This window comes from Homo sapiens, chromosome 19, assembly GCF_000001405.40.
Source record: "Homo sapiens chromosome 19, GRCh38.p14 Primary Assembly".
Taxonomy (NCBI): domain Eukaryota; kingdom Metazoa; phylum Chordata; class Mammalia; order Primates; family Hominidae; genus Homo; species Homo sapiens.
Genome location: NC_000019.10, coordinates 6,143,930 through 6,160,909, shown reverse-complemented (window position 1 = coordinate 6,160,909; position 16,980 = coordinate 6,143,930). Strand labels below are relative to the sequence as shown.

At 45.9% G+C, this 16,980-nt stretch overlaps 1 protein-coding gene and 1 long non-coding RNA gene across 12 annotated transcripts in view; one reads left to right on the top strand and one right to left on the bottom strand.

The window, feature by feature from the left end:
• The window catches only part of LOC105372255 (uncharacterized), a 74,099-nt gene that overhangs the window by 38,615 nt on the left and 18,504 nt on the right, over positions 1–16,980 (top strand). Inside the window, exon 3 of the long non-coding RNA NR_187772.1 lies at positions 12,581–12,679. This is a non-coding gene — a long non-coding RNA (uncharacterized LOC105372255). The remainder of the gene's footprint in view (positions 1–12,580; positions 12,680–16,980) is intronic.
• ACSBG2 (acyl-CoA synthetase bubblegum family member 2) overlaps positions 1–16,980 on the bottom strand; it is a 57,459-nt gene that overhangs the window by 32,182 nt on the left and 8,297 nt on the right. For 8 of the 11 annotated variants that reach the window (NM_001289177.2, NM_030924.5, XM_017027333.2 and 5 more), the window contains exons 3-5: positions 13,235–13,464; positions 9,115–9,203; positions 4,359–4,479 (exon numbers count right to left, since the gene is read on the bottom strand). In NM_001289177.2, coding sequence (NP_001276106.1) covers positions 4,359–4,479; positions 9,115–9,203; positions 13,235–13,464 — 440 coding nt within the window. Of the gene's footprint in view, positions 1–4,278; positions 4,480–9,114; positions 9,204–13,234; positions 13,465–16,980 lie in introns of those variants that run through there. The other 3 variants (NM_001321384.2, NM_001289180.2, XM_047439478.1) reach the window with 3 other exon arrangements.

The following is a 16,980-nucleotide window of genomic DNA, read 5'->3' as shown; positions in this document are numbered from 1 at the left end:
CAGGCTGGTCTCGAACTCCTGACCCCAGGTGATCCCCCCGCCTCGGCCTCCCAAAGTGCTGGGATTACAGGCGTGAGCCACTGTGCCCAGCCTCCAGCCTCTTTTCTTCCCCTGCCCACACTATAAAATGCTGCTATTGGTCTTGACTGACTCCAAATGACTTGGTTTCAGGACTCCTGGATTCTTTGTAGTCCATATCAGTAGCTTCCAACAGTGTCGGTAGAGGATGACAATAGTCTGCCCGAGACAACACATCTCTGACCAAATTATGCTACACAGAATTGTGGATCTTGGTTGATGAGCTAAAAGAAGTCCCTCATGGCTCTTCCTTTTCCAGGACTTTGCACCTTGCAGCCCAGATTTAGCTAACCTTTTACTCGGAGTCAGGCAATAAAAATCCTTCATGAAGTTGGCTGGAACCTGGACAAGTGCAGAGCCCTCTACCCATACCTAGCACGGTAAGGTTCAGGTGACCTGCGGGATTCTTTTTTCTTTTCTTTCTTTCTTTTTTTTTTTTTTTGAGACGGAGTCTCACTCAGTCACCTAGGCTAGAGTGCAGTGGCGCTATCTCAGCTCACTCCAAGCTCCGCCTCCTGGGTTCATGCCATTCTCCTGCCTCAGCCTCCCGAGTAGCTGGGACTACAGGCGCCCGCCACCATGCTTGGCTAATTTTTTGTAGTTTTAGTAGAGATGGGGTTTCACTGTGTTAGCCAGGATGGTCTCGATCTCCTGACCTCGTGATCCGCCCACCTCAGCCTCCCAAAGTGCTGGGATTACAGGCATGAGCCACCACGCCCGGCCCCTGCGAGATTTTTATACTCTGTTCATGCCAAAGAAAGCGGGATGGGGTCTCTCTATGACACTTCTAGCCAATCCAATGAAAAAGTTACTTGCAACATCCATTTTGCTAATCATAACCACGCCTCTGGCATGCATTGGAGAGAAAAGATGGCAGAAGCCCGTATAGCAGCTGGACAGGAGTTTTCCAGAGAGAAGAAGAAACAGACATTCAAGGAGCCTGGGGCAGGCAACAGCTTGGGATGTCTGAGGGATACAAAAAGTCCAGGATGGCCAGAGTGGGGACCCAAGAGAGTATGATAGGGGAGGGGGCATGAAAGAATGGTGAGGCCCAGATCAGCGGAGCCTTGGAGGCAAAGATGAGGAGTTTGGAGTTTATTTAACTCCAACAGAAAACCGCTAGAGAATTAGAGGATTATAAGCAGAGGAGGATCTGTGATTACTCCCCCAAATAAAGATCTCCAAGTGGAGCTGGGCATCCAATTTGGGAGAAGCATGTCAGGAACCTGGTTTTGAATCTTCTAGACCTAGCAACTGGAACAATAAATCCTCCACAGACTTCACCTTCAATGAAACTAGGAGTCAGAAATAATTCAGATATTGCTTTATTCACTTAATGCTGGACCTGCTAGAACCAGGACAGAAATCCACAGCAGCCAGGTGGGTGTAGAGGGGAAGGTTGTGTATGTGGCATTTTCCAGTTATGGAAAACTCAAATTAAGCCAGCATTCCCAGCTGGAAGAAGGACCCCACCCACCCACCAGCACCCACCCCATAGTGTGTTCTGCTAGGAAGAGGACAAACAGGTATGACATGAGTTTTGGGAACCACCGATGCATCACTTAAGAAAGTAATTTTGTGAGCAGTGGTTCATGCCTGTAATCCCAGCACTTTGGGAGGCCAAGGCCATTGGATCACTTGAGGCCAGGAGTTCAAGAGCAGTCTGGCTAACATGGCGAAATCCAGTCTTGACAAAAAATGCAAAAATTAGCCCGGTGTGGTGGTGTGCACCTGTAGTCCCAGCTACTTGGGAGACTGAAGCATGAGAATCACTTGAACCTGGGAGGTGGAGGTTGCAGTGAGCCAAGATGGCGCCACTGCTCTCCAGACTGGACGACAAAGTGAGACAGTCTCAAAAAAAGAAAAAAACAAACAAAAAAAGAAAAGAAAAGAAAAAGAAAAAAGAAAAGAATTTTTAAAAGCTCTAGGCCAGAGGTGGAGGTCTGTCCTTCCTGAACCAAGTCAGGAATTAGGAGTCAAAGGAAGCCAGGCAGGAGAAAGTGTTGTATTTCACTGAGTCTAGCTAGGATTTCATTGAATCTGGAAACTGTACCCAAATTTCGGAGAGAATAAAATGTGAGAAAACATATGGCCAGTAGTGATCAGAGAATGCCATCAATGAAAAGACACATCTCGACTCCAGAGATGTGAAAAAGTGAAGAAATGAGTGACTCAGAGTCATGAAATCATGTATTCAAGAAACAGTCACAGTGGTCCTTGAGCTGAAATGAACCTAGCCATCTAGGCTCACCCCTCCCAGGGACTCCCCTCCTCTCCAGGACCCTCCTGCCAAAAGCTGATACAGCAAACTGCAGCTCATTCAAACATGTAGGAAATTTAAAGTTTCGACAATAGCCATACAAAGACACTACAATGAAAAAAAAAAAAAAACGTAAGACAGCAGCTAAATTTCACTGTACACAAATAAAACTCACTGGATAATTTCAACACAATGCAAAAGAAAATTGTAACCAAGGCCAGGTGCAGTATCTCATGCCTGTAATCCCAGCACTTTGGGAGACCGAGGCGGGCAGATCACGAGGTCAGGAGATCGAGACCATCCTGGCTAACATGGTGAAACCCTGTCTCTACTAAAAAAATACAAAAAATTAGCTGGACATGGTGGCAGGCACCTGTAGTCCCAGCTACTCGGGAGGCTGAGGCAGGAGAATGACGTGAACCTGGGAGGCAGAGGTTGCAGTGAGCTGAGATTGTGCCACTGCACTCCAACCTGGGCGACAGAGCGAGACTCTGTCTCAAAAAAAAAAAAAGAAAAAAAAAGAAAATTGTAACCAAACATTCCAACATAAAACTAAAAATGTAATGAAGCAAACACAGCTAGAAAGGAAGAACACAAAGCAAACATACAAGCACTCAGGGAAGAGACAGCAGGACACTAGAAAAAAATGAAACAGGAAGGGATAGAACTTAGGCAAGAAATAGAAGAGAACAACAAAAGCATCTAGAAATGAAGACAATGACAAGAAATGAAGAAAATTATATAGTAGCATGGGCTTGAAATCATCACACTTCTAAAAGAAAAAATAATTAGCAGTGGGATGTATATAAAATAATACATAAATATATTAATACTTTTACTTAAGTGGGGGCTTAAGGTTGGGCATGGGGGCTCATGCCTATAATCCCAGCACTTTGGGAGGCTGAGGCAGGAAGATCAATTGAGGCCAGAAGTTCAACAGCAGCCTGGGCAACATAGCAAGACTCTGTCTCTACAAAAAAAAAATGGTTTTTGTTTGTTTGTTTGTTTTGAGACAGGGTCTCTCTCTGTCACCCAGGCTGGAGTGCAGTGGCTCAGTCTTGGCTCACTGCAACCTCCACCTCCCAGGTTCAAGCGATCCTGCCACCTCAGCCTCAGCCTCCCCAGTAGCTGGGACTACAGGTGCATGCCACCACACCCGGCTAAATTTTGTATTTTTTGGTAGAGATGGAGTTTCACCATGTTGGCCACACTGGTCTCAAACTCCTGACCTCAGGTGTTCTGCCTGCCTTGGCCTCCCAAAGTGCCCGGATTACAAGCATGAACCACCACACCTGGCCCAAAAAATGTTTTAAAAGTTAGCCCGGGCTCGGGGCGGTGGCTCACGCCTGTAATCCCAGCACTTTGGGAGGCCAAGGCGGGCGGATCACGAGGTCAGGAGATCAAGACCATCCTGGCTAACACGGTGAAACCCCGTTTCTACTAAAACATACAAAAAAATTAGCCAGGCGTGATGGTGGGCACTTGTAGTCCCAGCTACTTGGGAGGCTGAGGCAGGAGAATGGCATGAACCCAGGAGGCAGAGCTTGCAGTGAGCCGAGTTCAGCCCACTGCACTCCAGCTTGGGCGACAGAGCGAGACTCTGTCTCGGAAAAAAAAAAAGTTAGCCTGACATGGTGGTACACGCTCGTAGTCCCAGCTACTTGGAGGACTGAGGCAGAAGGATCAGTTGAGACCAGGAGTTCAAGGCTACAGTGAGCTACAATCACGACATTGCACTCCAGCCTGGGGACAGAGTGAGACCCTGTCTCGAAAAAAAAAAAAAAATGGAGGCTGAGTATTAAACTAAGTTAATATGAATTGGAAATCAAACTCCTCTATTTCAGTCTGCTTCTCCAAAAATAGCTTCACCACATATACTAATGAGGTCATGGAGGACTCGCTGAACAGATGCATGGCCCTATCTTATCATTAGAATTTACCTGGGAAAAAAAGAACACCTGCCCAGAGCCCTGAGGTACCCCTGGGTGACTTTGGCAGGCAGTGCTGGGTAGGGGTTTACCGAAAGGATTTTCTGTAACTGTTGATCATTCTCAACCAGCAAGATGTTCACTTTGGCATGAGTGATGACATATTGACAAACCTCGGCAGAGTTGGTGGCATAAATACCAACACAAAGACCCCTGGGAAAAGAAAACAAATTCGTGTGTGCATCCACACACACCTTAAAGGCAGAATGGTCTGGAAGGTCAAAAGAGAGGAAAGGTTTGCAGGCAAGTTCTTAAGTTTGCAGCCACAGCACCAGCTTCCCTTCCTCCCCAACTTAACAATGATGAAGACAACAAAAATGACAATGATGATAAGTGACAGCTCCTATGATGTCACTATGACAACAGGTCATGGAACACTTAGAACACCGCATTTTATAGATGAGAAAAACAGGGGCCCAGCAGTGAAGTCACTCAAGATTACACAGCAAGTAGGTGTTAGACCTAGGATCTGAACTCCTGACTCAGCCTCTGTTCCCATCATTCACAGCCTTTTGTGCTTGCAGGGTGCATCCTCTTTTGCTTTTAATTTGCATTTCCCAATGGATAATGACATTGAGCACCTTTACATGTGCCTTTTGGCTACTTTCCTTTGTGGCATTTCTGTTGAAATCTTTTGCCCCTTTCAATTTTTTTTTTTTTTGCCTTTTTATTACTGAGTTACAGAATTTCTTTATCTATCTTAGATACCAGTCCTTTGTTAGAAATTCGAGTTTTAAGAATATTTTCTCCAAGTATGCAGTTTGCCTGTTCACCATTTTTTTTTTTTTTTTTTTGAGACAGGGTCTAGCTCGGTCACCCAGGCTGGCCTGCAGTGGTGCAATCTCAGCTCACTGCAACCTCAACCTCCTGGATTCAAGCAATTCTCATGCCTCAGCCTCCTGAGTAGCTGGGATTACAGGTATGCACCACCACACCTGGCTAATTTTTGTATTTTTTGTAGAGAAGGTGTTTCACCATGTTGCCCAGGCTGGTCTCAAACTCCTGGACTCCAGTGACCCACCCACCCCTGCCTCCCAAAGTGCTGGGATTCCAGGCGTGAGCCACCATGTTCGACAACTGTTCATCTTGTTGGTGTCTTTTAATAAGCAGAAGTTTTTAATGCTAATAAAGTCCTATTTGGCAACTTTTTCTCTTATGCTTTTTGCTCTCTGTGTCCTGTCTAAGAAATCTTTGACTACCCCCAGGTTGTGAAACCATTCCGTGCTTTTCTTTTTCTAGAAGCTTTAGAATTTAACTTGCATGATTTAGTCTGTAATCCATCTCAATTTAATTTTTGCATATGATGTGAGGTAGGGATCAGGGCTGATTTATTTTTCCATACAAATATCCAGTTGGTCCAGCACCACTGAACTACTCTGCTGCCTTTGTTGGAAGCCAGTGACCATGTATGCATGGAGCTATTTCTGGGCTCTCTGCTCTGTTGATCTAGTTGTTGTGCTTTTAATATGGCAGGGAATGAGGCACATTATAATTATTTGAGATGGTTACTCTCATCACCATTCTTAAGCACATACTATTTGCTAAGCACTGTGCTAAGGGTTTATGAAGCATCCTCTTATTGAATCTTTATAACAGCCCTGTGAGGCATGGAGATGTGTGCTTTCCTGCTCATTCATACAGAATACAAAATAGCAGACAACCCAAGATTTGAATTTGGGTCTGATGTGGCACCAGAGCCCAATCACTGCATGACACTGTCTTACCATTCAGTCCTAAAATGGGGACAGATCTCTTCATTAAAATTTATTCTGGGCTGGGCACAGTGGCTCACACCTGTAATCCCAGCACTTTGGGAGGCTGAGGCAGGTGGATTACCTGAGGTCAGGAGTTTGAGACCAGCCTGGCCAACATGGAGAAACCCCATCTTTACCAAAAATACAAAATTTAGCCAGCCATGGTGGCGCACGCCTGTAGTCCCAGCTACTTGGGAGGCTGAGGCAGGAGAATCACTTGAACCCGGGAGGCAGATGTTGCAGTGAGCCAAGATCACACCACTGCACTGCAGCCTGGGCAACAGAGTGAGACTCCACCTCTCTCTATATAGATAATATAATATATTATATATTATTATATGTATTATATATTATTTATTATATGTATTATATATTTTATATATATAATAATAATTTTCTCTCTCTCTCTCTCTCTCTCTCTCTCTCTTTTTGAGACGGAGTTTTGCTCTTGTTGCCCAAGCTGGATTGCAATGGCATGATCTCGGCTCACTGCAACCTCTGCGTCCCGGGTTCAAGTGATTCTCCTGCCTCAGCCCTCCAAGTAGCTGGGATTACAGGCATGTGCCACTACGCCTGGCTAATTTTTTGGGGTTTTTTTTAGTAGAGATAGAGTTTCTACATGCTGGTCAGGCTGGTCTCAAACTCCCGACCTCAGGTGTTCCACTCCCAAAGTGTTGGAATTACAGGCATGAGCCACTGCACCCGGCCTCAAAATATATATATATTTCAACTCACTGTAAGACAGGGGTAGTATATGCTCATAAAAATTTGGAAAATAGAATATAACATATTAGGGTGGTGTTAGTCTCGATGATGAGATATAACTAATGTTAATATTTATTTCTAGTCACCACCCTCAATTTTTTTCTCTCTCTTTTCTCTTTTCTTTTCCTTCCTTCCTTCTTTTCTTTTCTTTTTTCTTTTCCTTCTTTTCTTTTTTCTTTTCCTTTTCTTTTCTTTTCTTTTCTTTACTTTTATTTTCCAGACAGGGTCTCACTCTGTTGCCCAGGCTGGAGTGCAGTGGTATGATCATAATTCACTGCAGTCTCAACTTCTTGGGCTGAAGCCATCCTCCCACCTCTGCCTCCCAAGTAGTTGGGACTACAGGCACACACCACCATGCCTGGCTAATTTTAAAAACACTTTTATTTTATTTTTTAGAGACAGAATCTTGCGATGTTGTCCAGGCTGGTCTTGAACTCTTGGGCTAAGGCAGTCTTCCCATCTCAGCCTCCCAAAGTGCTGAGATTACAGGCATGAGTCACTGTGCCCAGCCGCTCAATTTTGTCATGGCCGTGGCTGCTGCTGCTGCTGTCGTTGCTGTTGTTATTATTAATCTTGAGTCGAACAAACGAGTTCAGATCTCAGGGTCTTTATCCAACCACAGCATGATTCTGGGGAAGACACTTAACCTCTATTGGTCCCAGATTATCGTCACCATCATTATTACTTGGGATCATGATGGCACCTACCTCAAAGGGCTACCATGAGCAGTCAATGATATCATATAGGTAAGAGTGACCAGCAATAATTGGTATATTAATGGTTGGTATTTTAAATTTTTTTGTTTTGTTTTGTTTTTTTGAGATGGAGTCTCGCTCTGTCGCCCAGGCTGGAGTGCAGTGGCGCGATCTCGGCTCACTGCAGGCTCGGCCTCCTGGGTTCACGCCATTCTCCTGCCTCAGCCTCCCGCGTAGCTGGGACTAACAGGCACCTGCCACCACGCCTGGCTGATTTTTTTGGTATTTTTAGTAGAGATGGGGTTTCAGCATGTTAGCCAGGATGGTCTGGATCTCCTGACCTTGTGATCCGCCTGCCTTGGCCTCCCACAGTGCTGGGATTACAGGCGTGAGCCACCACACCCGGCCTGATATTTAAATTTTAAGCATAGTTGTAACCATACAGTGTATAAAGATTTTGATACCTGCTTTGTCACCTCTGACATCAAAAATGCTTAAAATGTGCTCTTCAGAGCCATCATTTCAAAATATTACCGAGAATCCCATCCAGAAGGCATCTCATGGTTTAATCCACAGCTGTGGGACACTTAGGTTGTCCCCGACTTTTTGCCATCACTAATAACACTTCCAAGAAGTATCTTTGTGCATAAGCCAAAATATATTCATGTTTTGGTTTTGTTTCTTTAAGTAAAACTCCCAAAGGTAGAATTACAAGCTCAAGAAGAAATCAGTATTTTATTTTTACTTTTGTTTTTTTCACGATTACAGCCTGGGCAACATAGCAAGAAACCATCTCTACAAAAAAAAAAAAAAAAAAATTGGGAGGCCGAGGCGGGTGGATCATGAGGTCAGGAGATCGAGACCATCCTGGCTAACAAGGTGAAACCCCGTCTCTACTAAAAATACAAAAAATTAGCCGGGCGCGGTGGCGGGCGCCTGTAGTCCCAGCTACTCGGGAGCCTGAGGCAGGAGAATGGCGTGAACCCGGGAAGCGGAGCTTGCAGTGAGCCGAGATTGCGCCACTGCAGTCCGCAGTCCGGCCTGGGCGACAGAGCGAGACTCCGTCTCAAAAAAAAAAAAAAAAAAAAAATTAGCTGGGTGTGGTGGTGTGTGCTCATAGTCCCAGTTACCCTGGAGGCCGAGTTGGGAGGATCGCATGAGCCCAAGACTTCAAGGCTGCCCACTGGCTGTGTGAGCCTCAGTTTCCTCATCTGTAGATAGGGGATGATAGGACCCACTTCACATTGCTGTCGTGAGGTTTTACAGGATCATACACGTGGAGCACAATGCTTCTGCACATAATCAGAAACCTCTAAATGCTATCTACAATTATTATTTTGTCTGCAAAAAGTTCTTCAGCTGAAGAAAATCGAGAGGTCTGAGACTGCTAGTCTAATGGGTGTTATTGCGTATGACCTGTGATCAGAATGATTTGTTCGTGCATCTATCCTGCCTGCTAACTAGGGCGTTCATCCAAAATTCCTGTTTGCATCTCACACTGGACAAGCCCAGGGGTCCCAGGCCCAGGGTAGCGGCTCCTTAACCCTCACCATGAACCAAGCCAATGACCTTACCCGGCTAGGATGGCACCAACAGCAGTGATAAACCACTCTGCAGAGTTAAACCCCAGGATACCAACTCCGTGGAAACGCTCCAAACCCAGCTGGGAAGGAAAAAGCAAACAGAAAAACAAAACATAAACACAGAGATGTTATATCATTAGGATATGTGACGACAGAATCAAAGGTAGTCACATGGAGGCCAGGCGCAGTGGCTCACACCTGTAATCCTAGCACTTTGGGAGGTTGAGGTGGGAGAATTGCTTGAGGCCAGAAGTTCGAGACCAGCCTGGGCAACACAGTGAGACCCCTGTCTTTACAAAAAAAGTGGAAAAGTTCGCCGGGCATGGTGGTACACACTTGTCGTCCCGGCTACTTGGGTAGCTGAGGCAGGAGGATCACTTGAGCCCTAGAGTTCGAGGCTGCAGTGAGCTATGATTGCACCACTGCACTCCATCCTGGGCAACAGATTGAGACCCTGTTTCAAAACAAAACAAAAGTAGCCACACGGGGTGGGAGACAGCATTGAGCCTAAAATCTGAGGTGTAATATTTTTAATTTTTATGACTACGGGAGGTTTGTTTACCTCCCTCTACATAACACACCATTTATTATTTTTATTTTTATGTTTTGTTTCATTTATTGTGGTAAAATATCTATAACATGGATTTTACCATTTTCTTTTTTTTTTTTTTTTGAGACAGAGTCTCACTCTGTTGCCAAGGCTGGAGTCCAGCAGTGCGATCTCGGCTCACTGCAACCTCCGTCTCCTGGGTTCAAGCGATTCTCCTGCCTCAGCCTCCGAAGTAGCTGGAATTACAGACACGCGCCACCACGCCTGGCTAATTTTTGTTTTTTTAGTAGAGTCAGCGTTTCACCATGTTGGCCAGGCTGGTCTCGAACCCCTGACCTCAAGCAATCCTCCCGCCTCAGCCTCCCAAAGTGCTCACGCCTGTAATCCACCACACGCAGCCCGTTTTGACCATTTTTAAGAGTGTAGTTTAGTGGCATTAAACACATCCACATGGTTGTACAACCGTCACCACTGTTCATCTCTAGAACTTTCTCCTCTTTCTAAACTGAAACTCTCTGTATAAAACACTCACTCTCTATCCCCTTCCCCAGCCCCTGGCACCTCCCATTCTACTTTCTGTCTCTATGAGTCTAACGACTCTAGGGACCTCCTAGGAAAGAAACCATACGGGATTTGCCCTTTTGTGTCTGGCTTATTTCACCGAGTATGATGTCCTCAAGATTCATCCATGTTGTAGCATGTGTCAGAATTTCCTTCCTTTTTGTGGCTGAATCATATTCCCTTGTATGGGCGGACCACATCGTGTTTATCCATTCTTCCATTGATGGACACACGGGCTGCTTCCACCCTCTGTCTCTTGTGAATAACGCCGCTATGACCCTGAGTCTACAAATAACTCTTCATGTCTCTGGCTTTCCTTTTTTTTTTTTTTTTTTGTTAAATATCCAGGAGTGAGACTGCTGAATCATATGGCAATTCTCTGTTTACATTTTTTCTTTTTTTAGAAATCGCCAGACTTTTCCACAGTGGCGGCACCATTTTACATTTCCACCAGCACTGCACAAGGGTTCCAGCTTCTCCATATCCTCCCCAACACGTGTTGTGTTTTGCTATTTTTTAAAGAATAGCTATCTTGAAAGGTGTGAATTTATTTTATTTTATTTTATTTTATTATTATTATTTTTTGTCTCGCTCTGTCACCCAGGCTGGAGTGCAGTGGGTGATCATAGCTCACTGCAGCTTCAACTTCCCAGGCTCCAGCAATCCTCCCGCCTCACCCTCCCGAGTAGCTGGGACTATGGGCCTGCTCCACTGAGTCTAATTTAAAAAAAATTACAGGCGTGGTGGCTCACGCCTGTAATCCCAGCACTTTGGGAGGCCGAGGTAGGTGGATCTCTTGAGGCCAGGTGTGGTGGCTCACGCCTGTAATCCCAGCACTTTGGGAGGCCGAGGTGGGTGGATCTCTTGAGGCCAGGTGTGGTGGCTCACACCTGTAATCCCAGCACTTTGGGAGGCCAAGGCACGTGGATCTCTTCAGGTCAGAAGTTCGAGACCAGCCTGGCCCACAAGATGAAACCCCGTCTCTACTAAATATACAAAAAATTAGCCGGGCGTGGCAGCACCTGCCTGTAGTCCCAGCTACTTGGGAAGCTGAGGCAGGAGAATTGCTTGAACCTGGAGGCTGAGGCTGCAGTGAGCCAAGATCGTGCCACTGCACTCCAGCCTGGGCAACAGAGTGAGACTCTGTCTAAAAAAAAAAAAAAAAAAAAAAGTTGCACATGTAAAGGTACAGACTTGTTCTGAATGTGGGTGAGAATGAACCAGGAAACTCAGAAACAAAAGTGAGCATCCTTAGGGGAAAACTCCCTCTTTGTTCTGGGTACTGCCAACCAACGTTGTTGGCTCTTTTAGTCATACGGGATCACGGCTGGCAATGATCTGCTGTTCTTGGGGGAAAAGGAACCATTTGGAAGGCATTTGCCTGCTGGTCCTTCAGAATGAGATGCCAAGTATTTCAGTAACCAAAAGGCTGGCTTTATTGTGGACAGAGTGTGTTTTTATTAATGCCTAGTTACACCGACTAATTTCTACTTGGGTCTCCAAGTAGTTTTGTTTGTTTTTATTTTTGGTTTTGTTTCTACTTCGGTCTCCAAGTTTTGTTTGTTTGTTTGTTTTTTGAGATGGAGTTTCACCCAGGCTGGAGTGCAGTGGCACAATCTCGGCTCACTGCAACCTCTGCCTCCCGGGTTCAAGCGATTCTCCTGCCTCAGCTTCCTGAGTAGCTGGGATTACAGGTGTGCACCACCACACCTGGCTAATTTTTGTATTTTTAGTGTAGATGGGGTTTCACCATGTGGGCCAGGCTGGTCTCAAACTCTTGACCTCTTGACCTTGATCCGCCCACCTTGGCCTCCCAAAGTGCTGGGATTACAGGCATGAGCCACCGTGCTCAGTCAGGTGTCCAAGATTTACGGGAGGAGGGGGACCTTTAACTCCACGGAACTAAGAACATGGCTAAAGGAGACCATCTTTCAGGAGAGATGAACTAGCCACAGCAACATAGTATGAAGGTGGGGCCCCCAAGAAGAAACCCAGCCCAAGCACATGGTTCTCTTTTTTTTTTTTTTTCTTTATGACACCATCTCACTCTGTTGCCCAGCTAGAGTGCAATGGTGCAATCACAGGTCATTGCAGCCTCGACCTCCGAGGCTCAAGTGATCCTCCCACCTCAGCCTCCTGATAGCTGGGACTACAGGCATGTGCCACTGCATCTGGCTACTTTTTAAATTTTTCATTGAGACTGGGGTCTCACTATGTTACCCAGGCTGGTCTTGAACTCCTGGGCTCAGTGATCCTCCTGCCTCGATGTCCCAAAGCACTAGGATTACAGACATGAGCCACTGACCCCAGCCTTGTTCCCTCTTTCTTTTGCTTCATTCATTCTAGGGGTGACTGGCAACCATGCCGTGAAGACACTCAAGCAATTCTGTGGAGAAGGCCATGGAATGAGGAGCTGAGACTTCCTGCCAACAACCAGTCATCTAGGTAAGTAAGCTTGGAAGTGAAGCCTCCAGCCCCAGTTGAGCCTTCAGATGAGATAGCCCCAGCTGATAGCTTGGCTGCAACCTCATGAGAGACCTGGAGCCAGAAGAACCCAATTTCAAAGTAGCTCCTAAATTCTCAATCCACAGAAACTGTGAGATGATAAATGTTTGTCATTTCAAGTCACTATATTTTGGGATAATTTGTTATGCAGCAGCAACTAACAAAAACATAGAGATAGTATGTTAGGGACAAATGCAAGATGCAGAACCATGGGTGTAGTAGGCTATTATGTGTGTAAAAAATTTGCATATATAAAAATTTCATTTTATATTTATGCATAATTTATTTCCCAAAAGGACACACAAAAAACTGACAATGGTGACCGCTTCCACAGAGAGGAACTGAGTGGCTGAGGCTCATGAATCAGAGGGAAATTTTCGCCAATTAACCTTTGTATCTTTTGGTGCCTTGTGAATTTTGTACCACATGTATGTATGTCTGTTACCTATTCAGAATGAATGGTTGAACAAAGGAGAATGAATGAATGAATCTTACCTTGATCAAGGATTTTGCAGCCTTCCGACAAGCCTCATAGTACTGGTTGAAATTCAGAATTTCCCACTTTTTGCCATTCTTGGATGCGAGGGCTGGATAAGTTCCAAATCGGTTGACTGACTCTCGAAAAAATTCAGGGATGGTCATCGGGGTCTCATGGCCTGGTCCGTGTTTGGATAGCCTCAGAAGGACTTCTCCATCTCGACAGGTGGTCCACAGCCTGGGAGTAACTGCAAATAGTCACCAGAGTTGGGTGGCAAATGTTTTTATTTATTTAATAACTTTGGACGGGGGGCGGTTGGTGTCTTTTTGGACCTAAGGTGCTGAGAGTTGAATTAATCCCCTTCTAGGGTGAAGTTATGTGGTCAACACTGGCAAGACAAGCTTCCTTTCTCTTTATTTATTTTTTCATTCCCCGCCCCGCCAAATTTTAATAGTCAAAAGGATTGTATACCAAATACTTTCTTATCCAACACCTAGATTCTACAACTGCTAGCGTTTTACCATATTTTATCACACATCTATCCTGCTGTCTTTGTTATGTCCATTTTTTTTTTCTTTCTTTCTTTTTTTCTGGAGACACGGTCTTGCTCTGTCAGCAGGCTGGAGTGCACTGGCACAATCACAGCTCACTGCAACCTTGACCTCCTAGGCTCAAGCCATCCTCCCACCTCAGCCTCCCAAATAACTGGAACTACAGGCAAACACCACCATGCCTAGCTAATTTATTTTTTAATGTTTTGTAGAGATGGGGTTCTACTGTGTTTCCGAGGCTGATCTCAAACTCCTGGGCTCAAACAATCCTCCTCCCTTAGTTTCTCAAAGTGCTGGGATTACAGGCATGAGCCACCGCACCTGGCCCCATCTTATTTTTTTTATTATTATTTTGTTTTGTTTTGTTTTTGTTTTTGAGACGGAGCTTTGCTTTTCTTGCCCAGGTTGGAGTACAATGGCACGATCTTGGCTCACTGCAACCTCCGCCTCCCGGGTTCAAGCGTTTTTCCTGCCTCAGCCTCCCGAGTAGCTGGGATTACAGGCATGCACCACCACGCCTCGCTAATTTTATATTTTTAGTAGAGATGGAGTTTCTCCATGTTGGTCAGGCTGGTCTCGAACTCCCGACTTCAGGTGATCCGCCCGCCTTGGCCTCCCAAAGTGCTGGGATTACAGGCATGAGCCACCGCGCCTGGCCTATTATTATTTTTTGAGACGGAGTCTCACTCTTTTGCCCAGGCTGGAGTGCAGTGGCGTGATCTTGGCTCACCCCGACCTACACCTCCCAGGTTCAAGCGATTCTTCTGCCTCAACCTGCCGAGTAGCTGGGATTACAGGCACCCGCCACCACATCTGGCTAATTTTTGTATTTTTAGTAGAGATGGGGTTTCACCATGTAGCCCAGGCTGGTCTCGAACTCCTGACGTCAAGTGATCCACCTGCCTCGGCCTCCCAAAGTGCCGGGATTACAGGCATGAGCCACCGCGCCTGGCTCCATCTGATTTTTTGATGCATTTCCAAGTGAGCCAAAGCTATTCATCCATTTACCCTTAAACACCCTTGCATGTAAATCATTAACAAGAGTCACATATTTAATATTATTTACGGAGATTTTTTTAAAGGTAAAATGTACATGCAGTGGACTATGTATGCTTTGGCCAATGAAACATAAGAAGTGAGTTATGTGTGTCGTTCATGGGGAGAAGATTTAAGACCCGGTGCATAATTCCCCATCGTCCATTGTCCTGTCACAAAAATGGTGGAGCAAATGTGAAGAAGTAGCCCCTCTCCCCCAATGCCAGACACACAACATGAGTAAGAAACACACTTGTGTTGTGTTAAGCCATTGAGGTTGTTGAGGGGGTTGTTGAGGGGGTTGCCTGTCACAGCGACATCACCCAGATCAGCCAAATGGAACTAGCAAAGGGACCAATTCAAAACCAGTTTTGGGGTCCTGTATCTATCACTTCTTTTGGGGATGAGTAAGGGTTGACACTGAGAAAGAAGAGAACAGGGTTTCCTCTGGAGACAGTTGTTGGTTTGTTGTGTGTTTCTCACTACCACCCAGTAACGGGCAAGTGAGAGAAAGTCCAAGAGACCCTCTTGGAGAATTGGGTGTGTAACCTTGCGTTTGTTCAACTGAACCTGGTCTACTGGGGAGGTGGTAGATGGCAATGGTAGAGTAGGCAGCTGTGTTGGAAGGAAATTGCACATCCACCTATGATGGGATGCTACTTTTTTTTTTTTTTTTTGAGATGGAGTCTTGCTCTATCTCCAGGCTGGAGTGCAGTGGCACAATCTCAGTTCACTGCAGCCTCCGCCTCCTGGGATCATGCGAGCTCACCGCAACCTCCACCTCCTGGGATCATGTGATTCCCCTGCCTCAGCCTCTCAAGTAGCGGGGATTACAGGTGGGCACCACCACACCCAGCTAATTTTTGTATTTTTAGTAGAGATGAGTTTCACCATGTTGGCTAAGATGGTCTCGATCTCCTCACCTTGTGATCCGCCTGCCTCGGCTTCCCAAAGTGCTGGGATTACAGGCATGAGCCACCGCGCCCGGCCGGGATGCTACTTTTTCCCCTTGACTAGACATGGGCCTCATAGATGGGCTTCTAAAGGCTCTTGGCTTGGTGCCAGTAGTAGGACCCAAGGACTGGAGATGTATGTTCAGATAGTCATCAACAGACAGCAGGCTGGTTCATGCCTGTAATCCCAACACTTTTGGGAGGCCGACGCCGGCAGATCACTTGAGGTCAGGAGTTCGAGACCAGCCTGGCCAACATAGTGAAACCTCGTCTCTATTAAAAATACAAAATTTAGTCAGGCGTGGTTGGAGGGCACCTGTAATTCCAGCTACTCAGGAGGCTGAGGCAGGAGAATCACTTGAACCCGGGAGGCAGAGGTTGCAGTGAGCCAAGATTGTGCCACTGCACTCCAGCCTGGGTGACAGAGTGAGACTCTGTCTCAAAGAAAAAAAAAGAAAAAGAAAAAAACAACAAAAAAAACAGACACTGGTATGACTGATATATTAATTAGCTAGGACTGCAATAACAAAGTGCCCCAGACCGGGTGTCTGAAACAACAGAAATGTATTGTCTCACAATTCTGGAGGCCACAAGTCTGAGATCAAGGTGCAGGCAGCACTGGTTCCTTCTGAGGCTGTGGGAGAGAATCTGACCAATGACTTTCTCCTAGCTGCGGTTGCCGGCAATCCTTGACATTCCTTGGCTTGTAGGTGCATCACTGCAAACTCTGCTTCGATCCTCACATGACATTCTCCGTGTGTGCAGGTTCGTCTCTATTTCCTCCTTTTATAAAGACACTGGTCACATTGGATTGGGACCTAACCTCATGACGTCATTTTAACTAATTACTTCAGTAGGCTGGGTGCAGTGGCTTGTGCCTGTAATTCCAGCACTTTGGGAGGCCGAGGCAGGTGGATCACTTCAAATCAGAAGTTCGAGACCATCCTCGCTAACATGGCGAAACCCTGTATCTACTAAAAATACAAAAATTAGCCAGGCGTGGTGGCACGCGCCTGTTGTCCCAGCTACTCTGGAGGCTGAGGCAGGAGAATCGCTTGAACCCGGGAGGTGGAGATTGCAGTGAGCCAAGATCGCACCACTGCACTCCAGCCTGGGCAACAGAGCGAGACTCCATCTCAAAAACCAAACAAACAAACTAACTAACAAAAAAACAACAACAAAACCAAACAACAACAAAAAAACCAAATTACTTCAATGATCCTA